The sequence below is a fragment of the Homo sapiens genome, chromosome 19, assembly GCF_000001405.40.
Source record: "Homo sapiens chromosome 19, GRCh38.p14 Primary Assembly".
In the NCBI taxonomy this organism is placed as follows: domain Eukaryota; kingdom Metazoa; phylum Chordata; class Mammalia; order Primates; family Hominidae; genus Homo; species Homo sapiens.
The window spans coordinates 54115685-54134247 of NC_000019.10; the positions used below are offsets into that span (position 1 = coordinate 54115685).

The window sequence follows — 18563 nt, forward strand, 5'->3', positions numbered from 1 at the left end:
AACATCGCGAGCGGGGACCAATCAGAGAGTAGCTTTGCCTCTATAACGGCGCGAGAGTGAGACGTCATCGGTGAGCGACTAACGCTAGAAACAGTGGTGCGCGGAGAGGAGAGGTGAGTGTGATGGGGACCACGGGGAGCGGGAGGCTGGGCTCCTGGGTCTGGGAGAAGAAGTGTGTGAGGAAAAAGGCGGGTCTTTACAGCTTGGTTTTTGTTTTTTTGTTGTTTGTTTGTTTTGAGACGGAGTCTCGTTCTGTTGCCCAGGTTGGAGAGCAGTGGCGCGATCTCGGCTCATTGCAACCTCCGTCTCCCGGGTTCAAACGATTCTTCTGCCTCAGCCTCCAGAGTAGCTGGGATTACAGGCGCCCGCCACCACCCCTGACTAATTTTTGTATTTTTAGTAGAGACGGGGTTTCCCCATGTTGGTCAGGCTGGTCTCGAACTCCTGATCTCGTGATCCGCCCGCCTCGGCCTCCCAAAGTGCTGTGATTACAGGCATGATCCACCGCGCCTGGCCAGTTGTTTGTTTGTTTTGTCTGAGACGGAGTTTCGCTCTTGTTGCCCAGGCTGGAGTGCAGTGGCGCGATCTCGGTTCACTGCAACCTCCGCCTCCCGGATTCAAGCGATTCTCCTGCCTCAGCCTCCCGAGTAGCTGGGATTACAGGCGCGCACCACCACGCCCGGCTAGTTTTTTGTATTTTTAGTAGAGACGGGGTTTCACTATGTTGGCCAGGCTGGTCTCCAACTCCTGACCTCAGATGATCCACCCGCCTGGGCCTCCCAAAGTGCTGGGATTACAGGCATGAGCCACCGCTCCCGGCCTTTTACAGCCTGTTTACCCAAAAGTCTTAATATGCGCCTACCATGGTGTGGCCCTGGGGATGTGGAAGGAGCAAAAATTGTTCGCTACCCTCTTAGAGCTTTGGTTGATGCCTGGCAGACAGGCTTTATCAAATAATTACTTCATTAATCACAAATGTGTGAAGTGCCTTACTGTAGACACGCAGAGCGTGCGGGACACGTTATCACAAAGCAACCTCCTGTAGTCTAGAGTGGGGCGTGTGGGTCAGGGAGGTGGAACGTGAGAGCTGAAGGCTGAGGAGATGCTGGGCTACTAAGAAGTGAGGAGAGCCAGACGCCATGGCTCACTCCTGTAATCCCAGCACTTTGGGTGGCCCAGGCGAAAGGATCGCTTGAGCCCAGGAGTTTGAGACCAGCCTGAGCAACACAGTGAGACCCTGTCTCTACAGAAAAATTTAAAAATTAGCCGGGCGTGCTGGTGCGTGCCTGTCATCTCAGCTATCGGGAGGCTGAGGCGGGAGAATCGCTTGAGCCCAGGTGATCGAGGCTGCCGTGAGCTATGATGGCGCCACTGCACTGCAGCCTAGGTGACAGAGCAAGACATGGTCTCAAAAAAAAGAAAAGAAAAGAAAAAACAAAGTGAAGGAAAGGGCCACTTTAGTTACAAGGGACTCCTGTACAAAGACCTGGAGGCGGGAAGAGACCGATAATGTAACCAACTCAAGTTTCTGCTACTCAGAGGCAGAGGAAGTGGGGGGTGGTGAAAGTAAAGCAGCTTTACTGATCAAATGCTCGCAGATGAGAAATGGCCAAGCTAATGTCTTTAGAAGACCATTTCAAGCTTTAGGCTGGGGAGAGGGGCTTAAAAAGGGGAACTTTGAATGGGAGGCATACAGGAGTGGTGCTGGGTACAAGGTATGTGTGTCTTGCTCCGAAGGCTGTCTTGAGTCACGGGCCACCTGGAGCATGGGCTGGTGTCAAGTCAACAATGGCCACGTTGTAGATTGATCGCCTTGAGGTGATCTCTGGAGTTTTGCAGCTGGGTTTCCATACCTAGTTTGTTTCAAGATTAGCCCCTGCGGCGAGGCGCGGTGGCTTACGCCTGTAATCCCAACAGTTTGGGAGGCCAAGGTGGGTCGCTCACTTGAGGTCAAGAGTTCAAGACCAGCCTGGCTTACATAGTGAAACCTTGACTCTACAAAAAAAAAAAAAAAAAATTAGCTGGGCATGGTGGCAGGTGCCTGTAGTCCCAGCTACTCAGGAGGCTGAGGCAGGAGAATCGCTTGAACCCAGGAGGTGGAGGTTGCAAGTGAGCCAAGACTGCGCCACTGCACTCCAACCTGGGTGTCAGAGCCAGACTCCATCTTTAAAAAATAAATAAATAAAGATTAGCCCCTGGAACTTCTAAGTAAGCACATAGATAAGCCAGCAGTGCAAGACAGTATCTAGTGGGAAAGGAGGGAAACAAAGAATTTCAAAGTATGTTTTCAAGGCTAAAGGCAAGAAAGGAATAAGAAAGTTTGCAAATGCATTTGGAATCTACACCACTTGGTTCCAGTAAGTCTTAGCAAGGTGGCGGTCATAGGGGTGTGCTGCGTCTTGCACAGGTCGGAGCTGGAGACTCGCCAGTGAACAAAACAAACTAAAGCACCTGTTGTCGTGGAGCCTGCATGCTAGTGGGGTTGATAAAGAAGGACCAGGGTCTTCTGGGGGAGAATCATCGCTCAGTAATAAGGAGGGACTTTGTCGGGGCAAGTTTTTAGGGAACGCTGCTGTCCCTCCCCAGGCCTCGGGATGTCTCTGGCAGATGAGCTCTTAGCTGATCTCGAAGAGGCAGCAGAAGAGGAGGAAGGAGGAAGCTATGGGGAGGAAGAAGAGGAGCCAGCGATCGAGGATGTGCAGGAGGAGACACAGCTGGATCTTTCCGGGGATTCAGTCAAGACCATCGCCAAGCTATGGGATAGTAAGATGGTAAGAGGACAAGAGGTGTTCCTAGCAGGGGGCTCTAGACAGAATCTCCCAGAAGGGGGTGATACAGGCTTCTTTTTGAAGAGTGCTGGATTCTGACTGTCTTCTCCTTTCCTACAGTTTGCTGAGATTATGATGAAGATTGAGGAGTATATCAGCAAGCAAGCCAAAGCTTCAGAAGGTGCTTCCTCCCACTCTGTGCCCCTCCCCATCTCCTGTCTCTCCTGCCAGGCCCCCTGGCTCCCTGGCTGCTTGTGGCTGGGTATATCTCCTTCTCAGCCTTTTCCAGAGCCTTCTTTTTTTTTTGTTTCACCCCAACCCGTTCCCTTTTCCACTAAATATATATTGCATTGTAAAGCTCATGCTTCTTAAGTCCTTCCTGTGTGCTGAGCTTACTGATCATGATAGGACTCAGCTTGAGGTTTCCCAGACTTCACTGATTCACATGACCGGTTACAGGGTTTTTGCCACATCTATAAGCCGCTTATCCTATTATTTGCTTAACATATTCTTTGAGTCTAGGACTTTTTTTCTTAAATTTATCTGAGAAGGAAGCAAATTGCTACCATGAATGGAAAACTGGTATCATTTGGCAAAGACAAAGTCACTGTATAAAAATAGATATATAATTATTTAGGAACCACCTAAGGCCGGGCGCCGTGGCTCACGCCTGTAATCCCAGCACTTTGGGAGGCGGAGGCAGGTGGATCATGAGTTCAGGAGATCGAGACCATCCTGGCTAACACGGTGACACCCCGTCTCTACTAAAAATACAAAAAATTAGCCAGGCGTGGTGGCGGGTGCCTGTAGTCCCAGCTACTCAGGAGGCTGAGGCGGGAGAATGGCGTGAACCTGGGAGGCGGAGCTTGCAGTGAGCCGAGATCGTGCCACTGCACTCCAGCCTGGGCGACAGAGCAAGACTCCGTCTCAAAAAAAAAAAAAATAACCTAAAACCTTTTCTCATGCCCAAATTGAGAGAACACTAGCTTATCTCATGAGTGCTCAGACTCACTCTTAAGAGGGCAGTCCTGTTACCATTCCTATTCTTTTTTTTTTTTCCTTGAGATAGAGTCTCCCTCTGTCGCCCAGGCTGGAGTGCAGTGATGTGTTCTTGGCTCATTGCAACCTCCACCTCCCGGGTTCAAGCGATTCTCCTCCCTCAGCCTTATGTATAGCTGGGATTACAGGTATGCAACACCATGCCTGGCTATTTTGTATTTTTTAGTAGAGATGGGGTTTCACCATGTTGACCAGGCTAGTCTCGAACTCCTGACCTCAAGTAATCCGCCCACCTCGGCCTCCCAAAGTGCTGGGATTACAGGCATGAGCCACTACGCCCAGCCTTCCCATTCTTCTTGAATGGAATTTGTTGATGACAGGAAGCCATAGGAGGTTTCTGGGGAAAGAAGTGTAGTGAGAGGGCAGAGTTTCGGGAGACTCACTGCTTGCTTTCTTTAACGTTTACCTGGGCACCCAGTTGAATCGCCCAGGTCTTTGCTCTCAAAGTACTCAAGGTCTAGTGGAAGAGGCAGGCCAGGTTCCAGACAGCTATCAGTGGTGGTACCAAGCTGGGGACACCGGAGCCACAGGAGGGACTGGCTGACCCTGCCCCAGGTGTCAGGAAGAATCGATAGCTGAATTGGACTGTAGAGCATGAATGCATGTGCCAGGCAAAGAAAGGGAGAAGGGGGCCCAGGGAAAGACAGCGGCAGGCCCGGGGCCTCAGATATCCGGAGAGAGAATCCTGCAGAGTTCCAGATGCCAGGCCAAGGAATTTCTCCCTCCAGAGGGTTATGGGACACAGAAAGTGACATTTCCTGATGTCAGGCCAGGCTCAGGGATGGAGTCAGACCCCGTCACACCCGGTGTCTGGTTGAGGAGGCAGAGGTGAAACATCTCACAAGCTGTGGCAGTCCCTGTTTACTGGAGGTGCACAAGTGCTGCGGGTACACAGAGGAGGCGTCTGATCCTTCCAGAAAGGGAGGGAAGGATTCTGAGTCGCTGCCTGAGTCTTAAGGACTTAAAGAGCCATTTGAGCATCAGGGTTAGGAGTGCAGACTCTGACGCCGCCCTGCCTGGTGTCAGATCTGAGCTCTGCCTTCTACTGGCTGTGACATCAGGCAGTTAGTATTTGCATGACTTTTAAACACAACATCTTTTTGTTTGTTTGTTTTTTGAGACAGGGTCTCACTCTGTCACCCAGGCCAGAATGCAGTGGCACGATCCCAGCTCACTGCAGCCTTGACCTTGTGGGCTCAGGCGTTCCTGCCTCAGCCTCCCAGGCAGCTGGGACCACAGGTGTACACCACCATGCCTGGCTAATTTTTTTTCTTTAATTATGTGTAGAGATGGGGTCTCCCTATGTCGCCCAGGTTGCTCTCCAACTCCTGGGCTCAAGCAGTTCTCCTGCCTCAGCCTCCCAAAGTGCTGGGATTACAGGTATGAGCCACTGTGCCTGACCTCTTATTACTAAAGCACAAAGAAGCGTTTTCCAGAAACAGACGTGGGGTAAGGGATGCTCTGGGGAGAGGGAGCAGCACATGCAGAGGCCAGGAGGGGTCTGGCGCGGTGGCTCACGCCTGTCATCCCAGCACTTTGGGTGGTCAAGGCAGATGGATCACCTGAGGTCGGGAGTTCGAGACCAGCCTGCCCAACATGGTGAAACCCCGTCTCTACTAAAAATACAAACAAACAAAAAAAATTAGCCGGGCATGGTGGCACATGCCTGTAATCCCAGCTACTCAGGAGGCTGAGGCAGGAGAATCGCTTGAACCCAGGAGGCGGAGGTTGCAGTGAGCTGAGATCATGCCACTATACTCTAGCCTGGGCAACCAGAGCGAAATTATGTCTCAAAAAAAAAAAAAAAAGGCTAGGAGGAGTGGGTGTCTGGGGCACTGTGATCACTCCTTTATGGCTGGAGTGGAATAAAATGAGGTGTGGTGAGAGGATGGGGCGGGAAGGGCGGGAGGCCAGACTGCAGAGCTGCTGAGTCAGCAAACAGGAACGGGGGAACTCCCTGTGTGCCAGGTGCTGTCCTGGGTACTCGGCTGTGGGTACAGCCAACGCAGGCACAGCACTGGTCCCTGCAGAGCTTCCGGAGTTGGGGAGGCCCTGAATGTCAGTCTGAGGACTCGGTCATTAGCCTTGGGGCTGTGGGGAGCCGTAGGAGGTTTCACACGGTCAGTTCTGGGGTAGATGGGGTCAAGTCTAGACTGGTGTGGAGGGAGAGGGATTGAAGGCAGGAACACAAGTTCAGGGATGTCTGCAGACATCAGCCTGTCCCTGGTTTACTCTTCAGCCCCTCCTTCCTGACCCCTCCCAACTTCATCCTCCGCCTCCTCCAGCTGCGGGACCCGAGAGGGGGTAGGGATTTAGATACTCACACCCATGCCTCCGTGTCCTCACAGTGATGGGACCAGTGGAGGCCGCGCCTGAATACCGCGTCATCGTGGATGCCAACAACCTGACCGTGGAGATCGAAAACGAGCTGAGTGAGTGCTGGGGGGCAGGCGGAGACAGCCCCGTGTGACGTCCCTCACGCCCCCTCTCCCTTCCCCACTGGCCTTTCCCAGGGTCCTGCCCCTAAGCCCAAGCTCAGATCGAGGTTGACCTGCTGTCACAGAGTGGCTGAAATAAGAAGGAAGTGCGTTCTCTCGCGTATGAGTCTGAGGAGCACTCGGGGATGGTGTGGCCGCTTGGCTGCCTGTAGGGCCCCGGCTCTTTCCATCCTGTTGGTCGGCCACCTGCCTCACGGTGCGAGGTGACTGCCCCACCTCCAGCCATCACCTCCGCATTCCCACCAGCAAGGCGCTTCTTTTCTTTAAGAACATGTCACTGCAGCTCACGTTTTACAGACCAGAACTAATTCCCCTGGTCACACCTAGCGGTAAGGACGGCTGAGAAAGGCTGTATGCTGGTGCCCGTGTGCCAGGCCACAAGCCAGGGCTTCAGTTACTAAAGGAAGAAGGGGACATGGGTGTTAGGGCCAACCAGCAGAGTCTACCTTCCATCTCACCCGACAACCTCCTGTCCCGTTTACCCTAGACATCATCCATAAGTTCATCCGGGATAAGTACTCAAAGAGATTCCCTGAACTGGAGTCCTTGGTCCCCAATGCACTGGATTACATCCGCACGGTCAAGGTGAGCGCAGAGAAGGTGGGGTGCTTCTGCTGGCGTGAAGGGGCAGGCGGGGCTCACTCTCGGACCCCCTCCCAGAGGCCTGAGGGTCTGGAGACGATGGAGAGGAGTGGACGAGGGCTCAGTGGTCTGCTCTGCCCAGCGTGGGAGGGACGGAGCCTGGACAGGACTTTCTCAGGGCTCCCCTCCAACCCCAGTCTCCCGAGAGGGCTTCCCCGCTGGCCTGACCCACGCTGCTCCCGCTGTGGTTGGAGCCGGTGGCATTGGAGTTGACATCCGAAGGTTGACACAGGGCAGGCACACGGAGATTTGGGGGAGAGAGACGTCTAAGTGCAGAGAGCTGGAGAGGGAACAAGTGGGGAGGAAGTGAGGCGGGGAAGGAGGGGACGGGGAAGAGGTCGGATCACGTCCAGCCTTTGGGTCTTAGGAGAAAGCCAAGGAAGGGTTTCGGAAAAGAGGGGCAGGTGTGCGTGAGGGCGGGGAGAGGAGGAGGTCCCCACGCATGTCCAGGAAAGGATTAGGATGGCGGTGGGGAAGCCCCTGCAGGGAAGCGAGGCCGCGGATTTGCACTCCGACTTGACGCAGGCCAGAGGCTTGTGAGGCCACAGTCTTTCCAGACGCCACTCTGCCCGGGCTCCGTTTCCAGGTCAGCGAAAGCAGGGCAGATGGTGTGGATGCTTGACGTGGTGGAGGCAGGAATGGTGTGGATGCTTCAGGCGGTGGAGGCAGGAGAGGCCCCCAGTGCAGAGACCCTGACTGTCCCAGTGTCCCTAAGAAGAGACCTGAGGAGGTGCTGAGCAAGAGAGGTTCTCGAGCCTTCCTGAGTTCCCGAGCCTCCCCTATCTTCTCTGCTCGCCCCCAGGAGCTGGGCAACAGCCTGGACAAGTGCAAGAACAATGAGAACCTGCAGCAGATCCTCACCAATGCCACCATCATGGTCGTCAGCGTCACCGCCTCCACCACCCAGGGGTATGTCCGCTTCGAGGGAGGCGCCGGGCCCTAATGGGATTGGGGATTAGGCTGGAGCTACACACGCAGGTGTACACACGCACACACACATACACACATGCACACACACACACAGAACCGAGAGGGCTGGGGCTGGGCACACCAGGCAGGCGGGAGACCCAGGAGGCTGGGCCCACCCGCCCCTGCAGGCAGCAGCTGTCGGAGGAGGAGCTGGAGCGGCTGGAGGAGGCCTGCGACATGGCGCTGGAGCTGAACGCCTCCAAGCACCGCATCTACGAGTATGTGGAGTCCCGGATGTCCTTCATCGCACCCAACCTGTCCATCATTATCGGGGCATCCACGGCCGCCAAGATCATGGGTGAGTCCCCGGGCTGGGTCCCATGGAGCGGGGGTCTGCTGACACTGTGACCTTGGGAAAGCTACATCCTTTTCTGTAGAATGGGGGCTTTGGCACCTGGACCTCAGCACCCCGTCTCCCTGGACATCACAGAGGTCAGCCAGCCTGGCACACAGCAAAGCCTCATCTGTGGGAAAAACACTCACCCACAGCTCCTTCTCCCTCCCCTGTGCCGGAAACCCAGAGATGACCACACCCAGGCCCTGTTGTCAGGGAGCTCCTGGTTTGGTGAAAATGGTTCCAAAACACAGCCATCCCTGGAACGGCGTTAGTGTGGCTTAGCACAAACGTGGTGGTCAGCTTCCTGTTGGGGGCCTCCTCCCTGCACCCCCAGGCCAGCTGCCCTCCCTCTCTGAGCCTCCTTTGCATCTGCCCCTTGCGGAATGGGCCAGGTCGCCCGCCTGGCAGGGCCATCGAGGAATCCAACCAGAACTTCATGTAAAGGTGCCCAGCACACGTCGAGCCCCCAGGCAGATTTACTCACCCCCACCTCTCTGCTTTCTTCTGACCGCCCCCCCTTCCTCCCTCCCTCCCACCGCAGGTGTGGCCGGCGGCCTGACCAACCTCTCCAAGATGCCCGCCTGCAACATCATGCTGCTCGGGGCCCAGCGCAAGACGCTGTCGGGCTTCTCGTCTACCTCAGTGCTGCCCCACACCGGCTACATCTACCACAGTGACATCGTGCAGTCCCTGCCACCGGTGAGCCCACTGCGTCATGGCCCCTCCCCCGGCCCCCCTGGAGCCTTCCGCTGTGCCCAGACAGCCTGAGCAGCCACCCACCATCTGGCCCAGCTGACGGTAGCACTCAGGAGCTGGGAACAGGGTGGCATGGGACGTGAGAGCCAGGGCTCTGCAGCAGACCAGCTCCAGCACCCACCAGTCAGGTGACTGTGGGCAAGAGGCATGAGCGCCCTGTGCCTCAGTCTCCTCCCCTATCAAATGGGAGCACAGCGCCTGCTTCATGAGTTGGGACGAGGGCTCAGTGCACATGAAGCACTTACAGTTCAGGCCTAGCTCACGACAAGCAGCGTCGGGTTAGCGTGCAACTGCTCCGAAGACCACCCTCAGGTTTGACCATTCACTAGAAAGACTCACAGAATCCACTGAGGGCTGCACATCAGCCATGGGGAGAGACACACAGGAGGGGCAGGAGAGGTCACCAACCTCGGAGCTTCCCGGGTCCTCTCCCTGCAGTCGGGACACATCACCATCCCAGCATCGACGCCTGACAGCACACACACAGGCCCGCTAGCCTGGCGGGGCGCAGTGGCTCGTGCCTGTCATCCCAGCACTTTGGGAGGCCGAGGCGGGCAGATCACCTGAGGTCAGGTGTTCGAGACCAGCCTGGCCAACATGGTGAAACCCCATCTCTACCAAAAATACAAAAAACTAGCTGGGTATAGTGGCACACACTTATAATCCCAGCTACTTGGGAGGCTGAGGCAGGAGAATCGCTTGAACCCAGGAGGTGGAGGTTGCAGTGAGCTAAGATCATACCACTGCCCTCCAGCCTGGGTGACAGAGTGAGACTCTGTCTCAAAAAAAAAAAAAAACAAGCAAGACAGGTTCTGGGACAGACAGGCCTGGGTCCAGACCCTGCTCTGTCCAACTGTGGCGAGTTACCTCAGGCTCACGGCCCTGTGCCCTGCCTGGCCTCCCCCAGGGATGGGGAGAACAATAGCACTGATGGCCAAGGCTGGGCAGGCACTTCCTGGCCCCACCCCCCAGCCCTGTGTGGGGTTTTTTTTGTGGTCTTTTCTGCGACCCTTTAGGTCAGGCACTGCTACTGGAACACACCCAGGGAGGCTGGCAGGTCACCCCATCCTGGGAGGAGAGAGAGTGGGCGATAGAACCCAGGACGGGTGGGCCTGGGGCTCGGGGCTCCAGCTGCCTCACTGCACCCCTGCCATCGCCACCGCCTCACAGCCCTGGGCATATGGGTTAAACCTGCCCCAGGGAGCCTGATGTCTTGTCACCCAGGCCTCTGCCTCTTCATTTGGCCATCTCACATCGGTCCAGGCACAGGCCGTAGACACCACAGGCCTGTAAGGGAGGCCAGGGCTGGCCATCGCTTCACTGTGGCTGACAGCTGGGCTCTGTTTGCAGTTTGGATTGGAACCCTGGCTCCATCACCTGCTGGCTGTCTCCCTGGCCACATGACTTGAAGCCTTGGTTTCCACATCTGAAAAGGGGGTGCAATGATCACACCAGCCCGATATTTGAATATTTGATGAGATGATCCGAGGGGCGTGCTTAGCATGGGGCTGGCATCCAGGCCGAGTGCACTCCCCCCGGCGTCTCCACAGTCACCACCGTCCTCGTTGTCAGCGTGCCTTACTGTCATCCTTACCTGATGGCCACTTATCAGCTGGGACATGGCTCTGTGCCCTGCCCTCATCCCCTCTTCCTGTGAAGTAGGAGCTGAGAGCACACACCTCTAGAGCCCAAGGGTGGAAAGCCCCCTTCCAGGACCCCAGGTAGAGCCAGAGGAGGAGCGCGCGCGGTTGCTTTGCTGTTACCTCTGTCTGTCTGTCTCACACAGATTCCACCCCCGTTTTCCGTTGCTCCAGGATCTGCGGCGGAAAGCGGCCCGGCTGGTGGCCGCCAAGTGCACACTGGCAGCCCGTGTGGACAGTTTCCACGAGAGCACAGAAGGGAAGGTGAGGAGGGAAAGGTGAGGGGCGGCCGGGCGTCTTTTCCTCTGGGCCTGGGGTGTCTCTGCAGGGAGACCCTCAGCAGGGAGCCCACCCCAGCGAGCACTGTCCTACCAAGGCGGAGGCAGTGCTTCTGCCCACCCTCCCTGGGGTCAGGCACCCCCTTCCCCAGTGGGGTTTCCTAGGTCTGCTGTTGGAAGGTAGCATGAACCTACTGGCTTAAAACAGTGCAGGTGTGGCCGGGTGCAGTAGCTCACGCCTGTAATCCCAGCACTTTGGGAGGCCAGGGTGGGCGGGTCACAAGGTCAGGAGTTTGAGACCAGCCTGGCCAACATGGTGAAACCCCATCTCTACCAAAATTAGCCGGGTGTGGTGGCACGCACCTGTAATCCCAGTTACTCAGGAGGCTGAGGCAGGAGAATTGCTTGAACCTGGGAGACGGAGGTTGCAGTGAACTGAGATTGCATCATTGCACTCCAGCTTGGGTGACATAGCGAGACTCCATCTAAAAACAAAAACAAAAAACAGTACAGGTTTATTATCTGTGGTCCTGTAGGTCAGAAGTCCAAAATGAGTTTCACTGGGCTGAAGTCAGGGTGTCATCCTGGAGCGTTCCTTCTGGGGGATTCAAGGGATAATCCATTCCCTGGTCTTTTCCAGCTTCTAGGGGTCACTGGCACCCCTTAGCTCGTGGCCCTCCCTCTGTCTGCGGAGCCAGCCACATAGCACCCTCAGACCTCTCTCTGACTCTGCTTCTGTCTTCATATCTCCGCCTCTGTTTTTGTTCCCCTCTTCTATTTTAAGGGCCCCTGTGGCTATACTGAGCCTACTCAGATGGTCCAGGATAGTCTTCCCAGCTCACAATCCTTAAAATCCTTCTTAACCTCTTCACGTCCCTTTTGCCCTGTGATTCTGGGAATTAGAACATGGGCCTCTTTGGGCATGTGTGTGTTGGTGGGGGCGTAATTTGCCTTCCACACCAGGATCTGTCCCCGCTGCAACAGGGGATGTTATTCAAGTAATTATTCAGTTACCTTCTGTCTTCCTTGGTAGATGTACTCGGGAGAGGAGACGTTTTCTGTCTTGTGAACTGTCGTTTGCCAAGCACCCGGCCTGGCACAGCGTTCAGGTGTTCCGTGTCCCCTTCTCCTTTCCCTCTCCCCATCTCACCCCTGGTCTGGGTGTGGGGGTGCAGCTGTGAGTAGCACAGACAGGACCCCTGCCCCGTGGCGTGGACATTCTTGTTGGGGCCGGGTCAAAGAGACAGTCAACAGGTGAACTCTGTCCTGCGTCTAGCGGTGCTAAGTCAACACCAAGAAGAAAAAGAAAGGGGGTGGCGGTGAGGCAGCATTAGGTGCTGATTTAACTAAGGCACGTGGATACTCGGGGGGCCCGCTCAGAGGAGGCCTGGGTGGGCAGCCCACGCGAGCAGCTGCAGGACCTCCCCCTCGCCCTCCCCAGGTGGGCTACGAACTGAAGGATGAGATCGAGCGCAAATTCGACAAGTGGCAGGAGCCGCCGCCTGTGAAGCAGGTGAAGCCGCTGCCTGCGCCCCTGGATGGACAGCGGAAGAAGCGAGGCGGCCGCAGGTGAGGGGCCCTGGGGGTCCGGTAGGCATGGGGGTCATGGAGGGGAGAAGCCGGCGTCCTCCTCCCAGCCGACTCCCTGGCGCCGCCCACCCACCCGTCCCCAGGTACCGCAAGATGAAGGAGCGGCTGGGGCTGACGGAGATCCGGAAGCAGGCCAACCGTATGAGCTTCGGAGAGGTCAGACTCCCAGAGCGCCCTCCTCAACCCCACAGCCAGCCAGCCGCCACCGCCCTCTGCCTCCTGCCACCGCCCCTCCTCTCGTCCTGTGGCCCTGGCTCATGTCTAGGGCGCTGCCCCAGCCTCCCCCCCCCCGGCCTCTATTCTCGTTTCCATCCGTTCAGCCCCAAAGCGACCCTCGCGACCCTTGGAGCCTGTGTCTCCGCTGCTTAGAGCCCCCGCGGCTTCCCATCGCCCCGGGCTCCTTGGCCGGTTCCTCCCTGCCCAGAGGCTCCTTAGTGCCCTGCTGCACGGCCGCCCCGTCCCTGGGCCCCGCCAGTCTCCTCTGTTATCCCAGCGTCATCCCCTTGGTCCTGCAGGACCGAACTCAGAGGCCACCTCATCCTATTAAACCTGTTCTGGTTCCTGACATCCCCCGACCCACACGAGTAAGGAAGGAATGGCCTCCCAACTCTGAGCTCACAGAGCAGTGCTGGGACCGGGCCCCTCTCAGGCTCCCCAGCATCCCCCGCGTGTGTGGGCCCCCAGGCCTCAGCCGGGCCGAGTGGGTACCGGAGCAGGTGCCCGTGGGACCGGCCGGCTGGTGACCGCTGGGCTTCGGGCTGGTGGAGGGGGTGCCTCGGTGGCTGGAGGGCAGGGCCTGGTCGCTGAACTGCAGGGCGCCTCCTCTCCCCCCTAGATCGAGGAGGACGCCTACCAGGAGGACCTGGGATTCAGCCTGGGCCACCTGGGCAAGTCGGGCAGTGGGCGTGTGCGGCAGACACAGGTAAACGAGGCCACCAAGGCCAGGATCTCCAAGACGCTGCAGGTATGGGCCAGACCCAGGTGGGGCTGGGGACCGAGGGACACAAGGTGGGGGGAGCCCAGATCGCAGCCTCCCTGTCCTCCCCACAGCGGACCCTGCAGAAGCAGAGCGTCGTATATGGCGGGAAGTCCACCATCCGCGACCGCTCCTCGGGCACGGCCTCCAGCGTGGCCTTCACCCCACTCCAGGTACCTCCCCTGGGCCGGCTCTGTCCCCAGCCCTGAGACCTTGGCAAGGCCCCTTGCCCTCTGCCCCTGTGAAGAAGGCCAGGATGAGTCTCCTCATGGGGCTGTTGTGGAGGGTGTGGTGACGAGGTATGCAGAGGACGTAGACAGCTCCTGGCACACAGGAAGAGGTTAGCAGAGACGAGAGCCCAGCGCTGAGCAGTCCTCGTGAGCACGCACTGCTTTAGAACCAGGCCCACAGCTGTGTTCAGGGCACCCAGTTCCTCTGTCGGGCTGTGAGCGGGTAACACTGCTCAGCCTCCAGGCCCTCCAGTTCAAAACGGCCAGGACGGTTAAGGTAACCTCAGGACCCCACTCGAGAAAGTTCCCGGCTAGGCGGGCTTGGATGTCAAGTGTGGGTCCAGGCCCCAGCCAGTCAGCAGTGAGCAGCGTGGAGCATGGCAGTCACCGCATCGTCGGAGCCTCGGTTTACCATCCACAGAGCAGGGCGAGCCTGCACCACGGAGGCGAGACAGCAGCGAGCTCATCTGCCCAGTCAGCGGGTGTCTACGCAGCACCTGCTGAGTTCTGTCAGTGTTCCCGGCTCTGGGGATGAAGCAACGAATGAGAGACAAGTCTTACCTTCTTGGAGCCAGTGGGTGGCCGGGCGCAGACAGCTCAGTAAGATGTCCAGTGTAGGAGAAGGCAGAAATGCCAGGCCGGGCGCAGACAGCTCAGTAAGATGTCCAGTGTAGGAGAAGGCAGAAATGCCAGGCCGGGCGCAGACAGCTCAGTAAGATGTCCAGTGTAGGAGAAGGCAGAAATGCCAGGCCGGGCGCAGACAGCTCAGTAAGATGTCCAGTGTAGGAGAAGGCAGAAATGCCAGGCTGGGCGCAGACAGCTCAGTAAGATGTCCAGTGTAGGAGAAGGCAGAAATGCCAGGCCGGGCGCAGACAGCTCAGTAAGATGCCCAGTGTAGTAGAAGGCAGAAATGCCAGGCCGGGCGCGGTGGCTCACGCCTGTAATCCCAGCACTTTGGGAGGCCGAGGCAGGTGGATCATGAGGTCAGGAGATCGAGACCATCCTGGCTAACACGGTGAAACCCCGTCTCTACTAAAAATACAAAAACTTAGCCGGGCGTGGTGGCGGGCGCCTGTAGTCCCAGCTACTTGGGAGGCTGAGGCAGGAGAATGGCGTGAACCCGGGAGGCGGAGCTTGCAGTGAGCCGAGATCGCGCCACTGCACTTCAGCCTGGGCGACAGAGCCAGACTCTGTCTCAAAAAAAAAAAAAAGAAGGCAGAAATGCCAGGGAGGGGAGGAGGTGGAAGGTAGGAGGTGGGACAGGGGAGGCTCTCGTTTCGGAGCAGCCAGGGAGGGCCTCTTTGAGAAGATGAGGCCAGTGGCTGTGCCTTTCCAAGCCTCCCCTCCTCCATCATGAGGTGCTCAGGACTGAAAAGAACGCACAGGAAGCACTTGGCACTGGGCTCACCATTAGAGCCCAATGACTGGGTCCTGTTATTATTTTTAGAGACGGGGGCTCGCTCTGTTGCCTTGAAAATATTTAGGAAGTGCCAGCCAGGTGTTGGCTCCCATTGCTGCCACTATGATCGTCAGTGGTGTTGGTGTGATTTGTGCTAGGACCTCGGGCCAGCCATGTCCCCCAGGGACTCAGTTTCCTTATGCAGAAACTGGGCAGGATTGGCTGTCCTCAAGCATTGGTTGTTTTTAGCACCCCTGAGGAACTTCGTACAAATCCAGGCGCCCTGGTTCCTCCCCACCCTCTCCCTCTAGACCCACTGAGTCAGAATCTCCCAAGACAGGGCAACTCCAGGGACAGGCAAACTGTCTCATGCCCACCAAGGCCTGAGTGCCATGGGGAAGGGCCTGGGGGGCTCTGATGGGTCACAGTTGGGGCCTTCTCCTCACCTAACCCATCATCCTCTCTCCCTCACCTGCCCAGGGCCTGGAGATTGTGAACCCACAGGCGGCAGAGAAGAAGGTGGCTGAGGCCAACCAGAAGTATTTCTCCAGCATGGCTGAGTTCCTCAAGGTCAAGGGCGAGAAGAGTGGCCTTATGTCCACCTGAATGACTGCGTGTGTCCAAGGTGGCTTCCCACTGAAGGGACACAGAGGTCCAGTCCTTCTGAAGGGCTAGGATCGGGTTCTGGCAGGGAGAACCTGCCCTGCCACTGGCCCCATTGCTGGGACTGCCCAGGGAGGAGGCCTTGGAAGAGTCCGGCCTGGCCTCCCCCAGGACCGAGATCACCGCCCAGTATGGGCTAGAGCAGGTCTTCATCATGCCTTGTCTTTTTTAACTGAGAAAGGAGATTTTTTGAAAAGAGTACAATTAAAAGGACATTGTCAAGATCTGTCCTTGGGGAGTGATCATTTTTCAAACAGCCGGGGCAACTAGAAGAATCAGAGCTGTGGAGCTTTGAGAAAAGAGCTTGGCCCTCGGGTCCAAGCGGTGTCTAGGCCCACTCCCTTCCCCGTTACTTTCTCGTCATGGGATCCCAGAAGGAAAAAGCCCTCTCCAACCCCCTGGAGAGCCGCAGTCACTTTGATAGCAAATGATGTGGCTGCCAACAGCCGCAGATCTCAGCGCAGGCCGACCGGGATTGCTGTCCACCTCAGGCCAGCCTCCTCACCTTTCCAAGCCTCCACACCTACGCCCAGGTGCCCAGGACTGGAAAGAATGCACAGAAAGCACTTAGCATGGGACTTGCCATCAGCGCCCTATAACCAGGTCCTGTTATGATTGGGTTTTTTAGAGACGGGGTCTCTGTTGCCCAGGTTGGAGTACAGTGATGCGATGAAGCTCACTAAAGCCTCAAACTCCTGGGCTGGGATTACAGGCATGAACCAGCACAGCTGGCCTCCTGGTTAATTTAAATTTTTTTTTTTTTTCTGAGGTGGAGTCTCGCTCTGTTGCCCAGGCTAGAGTACAGTGGTGCAATCTTGGCTCACTGCAACCTCTACCTCCCGGGTTCAAGCAATTCTCCTGCCTCAGCCTCCTGAGTAGCTGGGATTACAGGCATGTGCCACCATGTCCCGCTAATTTTTATAGTTTTTAGTAGAGACAGGGTTTCGCCATGTTGGTCAGGCTGTTCTCGAACTCCTGACCTCATGATATGCCCACCTCAGCCTCCCAAAGTGCCAGGATTACAGGTGTGAGCCACCACCCCAGCCCCATTTTTAAATTGTTTATAGACAGGGTCGTGCTCTATTACCCAGGCTGGGCTTGAACTCCTGTGCTCAAGTGAGCTTTCCACCTCAGCCTCCCTAAGTGTTGAGATTACAGGCTTGAGCCGCTGTGTCTGGCCTCTTATTATTATTATTATTTTTTTTTTTGAGACAGAATCTCACTCTGTTGCCCAGGCTGGAGTGCAGTGGGATGATCCTGGCTCATGGCAACCTCCACCTCCCGGGTCCAGGTGATTCTCCTGCCTCAGTCTCCTGAGTAGCTGGGATTACAGGCGCCCATGGGTTTTGTTTGTTTGTTTGTTTGTTTGTTTGTTTGTTTTTCAGACGGAGTCTTGCTCTGTCACCCAGGCTGGAGTGCAATGACATGGTCTTGGCTCACTGCAAACTCCGCCTCCCAGGTTGAAGTGATTCTCCTGCCTCAGCCTCCCGAATAGCTGGGATTACAGGCGCCCGCCACCACGCCTGGCTAATTTTGTATTTTTAGCAGAGACGGGGTTTCACCATTTGGGCCAGGCTGGTCTTGAATTGCTGACCTTGTGATCTGCCCGCCTCGGCCTCCCAAAGTGCTGGGATTACGGGTGTGACCCACCGCGCCCGGCCGAGATGGGGTTTTACCATGTTGGCCAGGCTGGTCTCGAACTCCTGACCTCAACTAATCCGCCTGCCTCGTCTCCCAAAGTGCTGGGATTACCCTGTGCCTGGCCCAGCCTCTTATTTATAACCAGTGTTGAGGGACTGTGTGGAGCCGGGCACAGGCGAAGCAGGCAGGCTTCCTGCCCTGGTAGGACCTGGTTGCTATAAAAGTCCTGCCAGGTGAGCAGAAGGAGCACACTTCCCCTCCCCTGACCTCCAGTCACTGAGTCTCGGGAACCGGGGCTCGGCCAGGAGCGCCTTTACTTGGACTGAGGGGAATGTGGCCTGCAGACAGTCAGGAGAGTTTCCAGGGGACAGCAGGGGCTGTCCTAGCGGGTGGCATGAAACCGTCTCCCTGGAGAGGTTAAGGAAGAGCAACTCCAGGGGTTCCATTTACTATGTGCTCCGGAGCTGGGCTACACGGTGGTACTAAGGAGGCAGCGCTAGTCACCTGACCTACAAGGTCGGGCTTCTGTTAGTTACCTAAGAGATGTTACCAGGACAAGCAGCAGCCTGGTGGGAAGATGATGCCTCCAGGTCTCTACCTCCTCTCTCTCTCCCTCCTTCTCTCCACCTCCCCTCTCTCTCCCTCCCTCTCTCCACCTCCCCTCTCTCTCTTCCTCCCTCTCCACCTCCCCTCTCTCTCTCCCTCCCTCTCTCCACCTCCCCTCTCTCTCTCCCTCCCTCTCCACCTCCCCTCTCTCCACCTCCCCTCACTCCACCTTCCCTCTCTCCACCTCCCCTCCCTCTCTCCACCTTCCCCTCTCTCCCTCCCTCCCTCTCTCCACCTTCCCTCTCTCCTCCCCTCTCCCCCTCCCTCCCTCTCTCCACCTTCCCTCTCTCCACCTCCCCTCTCCCCCTCCCTCCCTCTCTCCACCTCCCCTCTCCCTCCCTCTCTCTCCTCCCCTCTCCCTCCCTCCACCTCCCCTCCCTCTCTCCACCTCCCCTCCCTCTCTCCCTCCCTCCCTCCCTCTCTCCACCTTCCCTCTCCCTCCCTCCACCTTCCCTCTCCCTCCCTCCACCTTCCCTCTCCCTCCCTCTCCACCTTCCCTCTCTCCTCCCCT

At 57.0% G+C, this 18563-nt stretch overlaps 1 protein-coding gene and 1 long non-coding RNA gene across 4 annotated transcripts; one reads left to right on the forward strand and one right to left on the reverse strand.

Moving 5' to 3' along the window:
• On the forward strand, window positions 70-16029 carry PRPF31 (pre-mRNA processing factor 31). 3 transcript variants are annotated; one of them, XM_006723137.5, is made up of 14 exons: window positions 70-113; window positions 2557-2771; window positions 2889-2949; window positions 6176-6259; window positions 6813-6910; window positions 7770-7876; window positions 8065-8234; window positions 8815-8972; window positions 10844-10933; window positions 12389-12516; window positions 12621-12693; window positions 13373-13501; window positions 13588-13686; window positions 15623-16029. In XM_006723137.5, exons 2-14 carry the CDS (start codon window positions 2595-2597, stop codon window positions 15746-15748), a joined length of 1500 nt encoding a protein of 499 aa, XP_006723200.1. In that variant the 5' UTR covers window positions 70-113; window positions 2557-2594; the 3' UTR covers window positions 15749-16029. The 3 variants fall into 3 exon arrangements, with proteins under 3 accessions (XP_006723200.1, NP_056444.3, XP_047294543.1); NM_015629.4 differs by having other exon boundaries at window positions 2587-2771; XM_047438587.1 differs by lacking the exons at window positions 12621-12693; window positions 13373-13501; window positions 13588-13686; window positions 15623-16029 and having other exon boundaries at window positions 2587-2771; window positions 10816-10933; window positions 12389-12511.
• PRPF31-AS1 (PRPF31 antisense RNA 1) lies at window positions 3826-6958 on the reverse strand. Its single transcript, NR_186329.1, has 4 exons — window positions 6808-6958; window positions 6379-6722; window positions 6152-6231; window positions 3826-4708 (listed from the first exon to the last, which is right to left on the reverse strand). It is a non-coding gene; the product is annotated as a PRPF31 antisense RNA 1 (long non-coding RNA).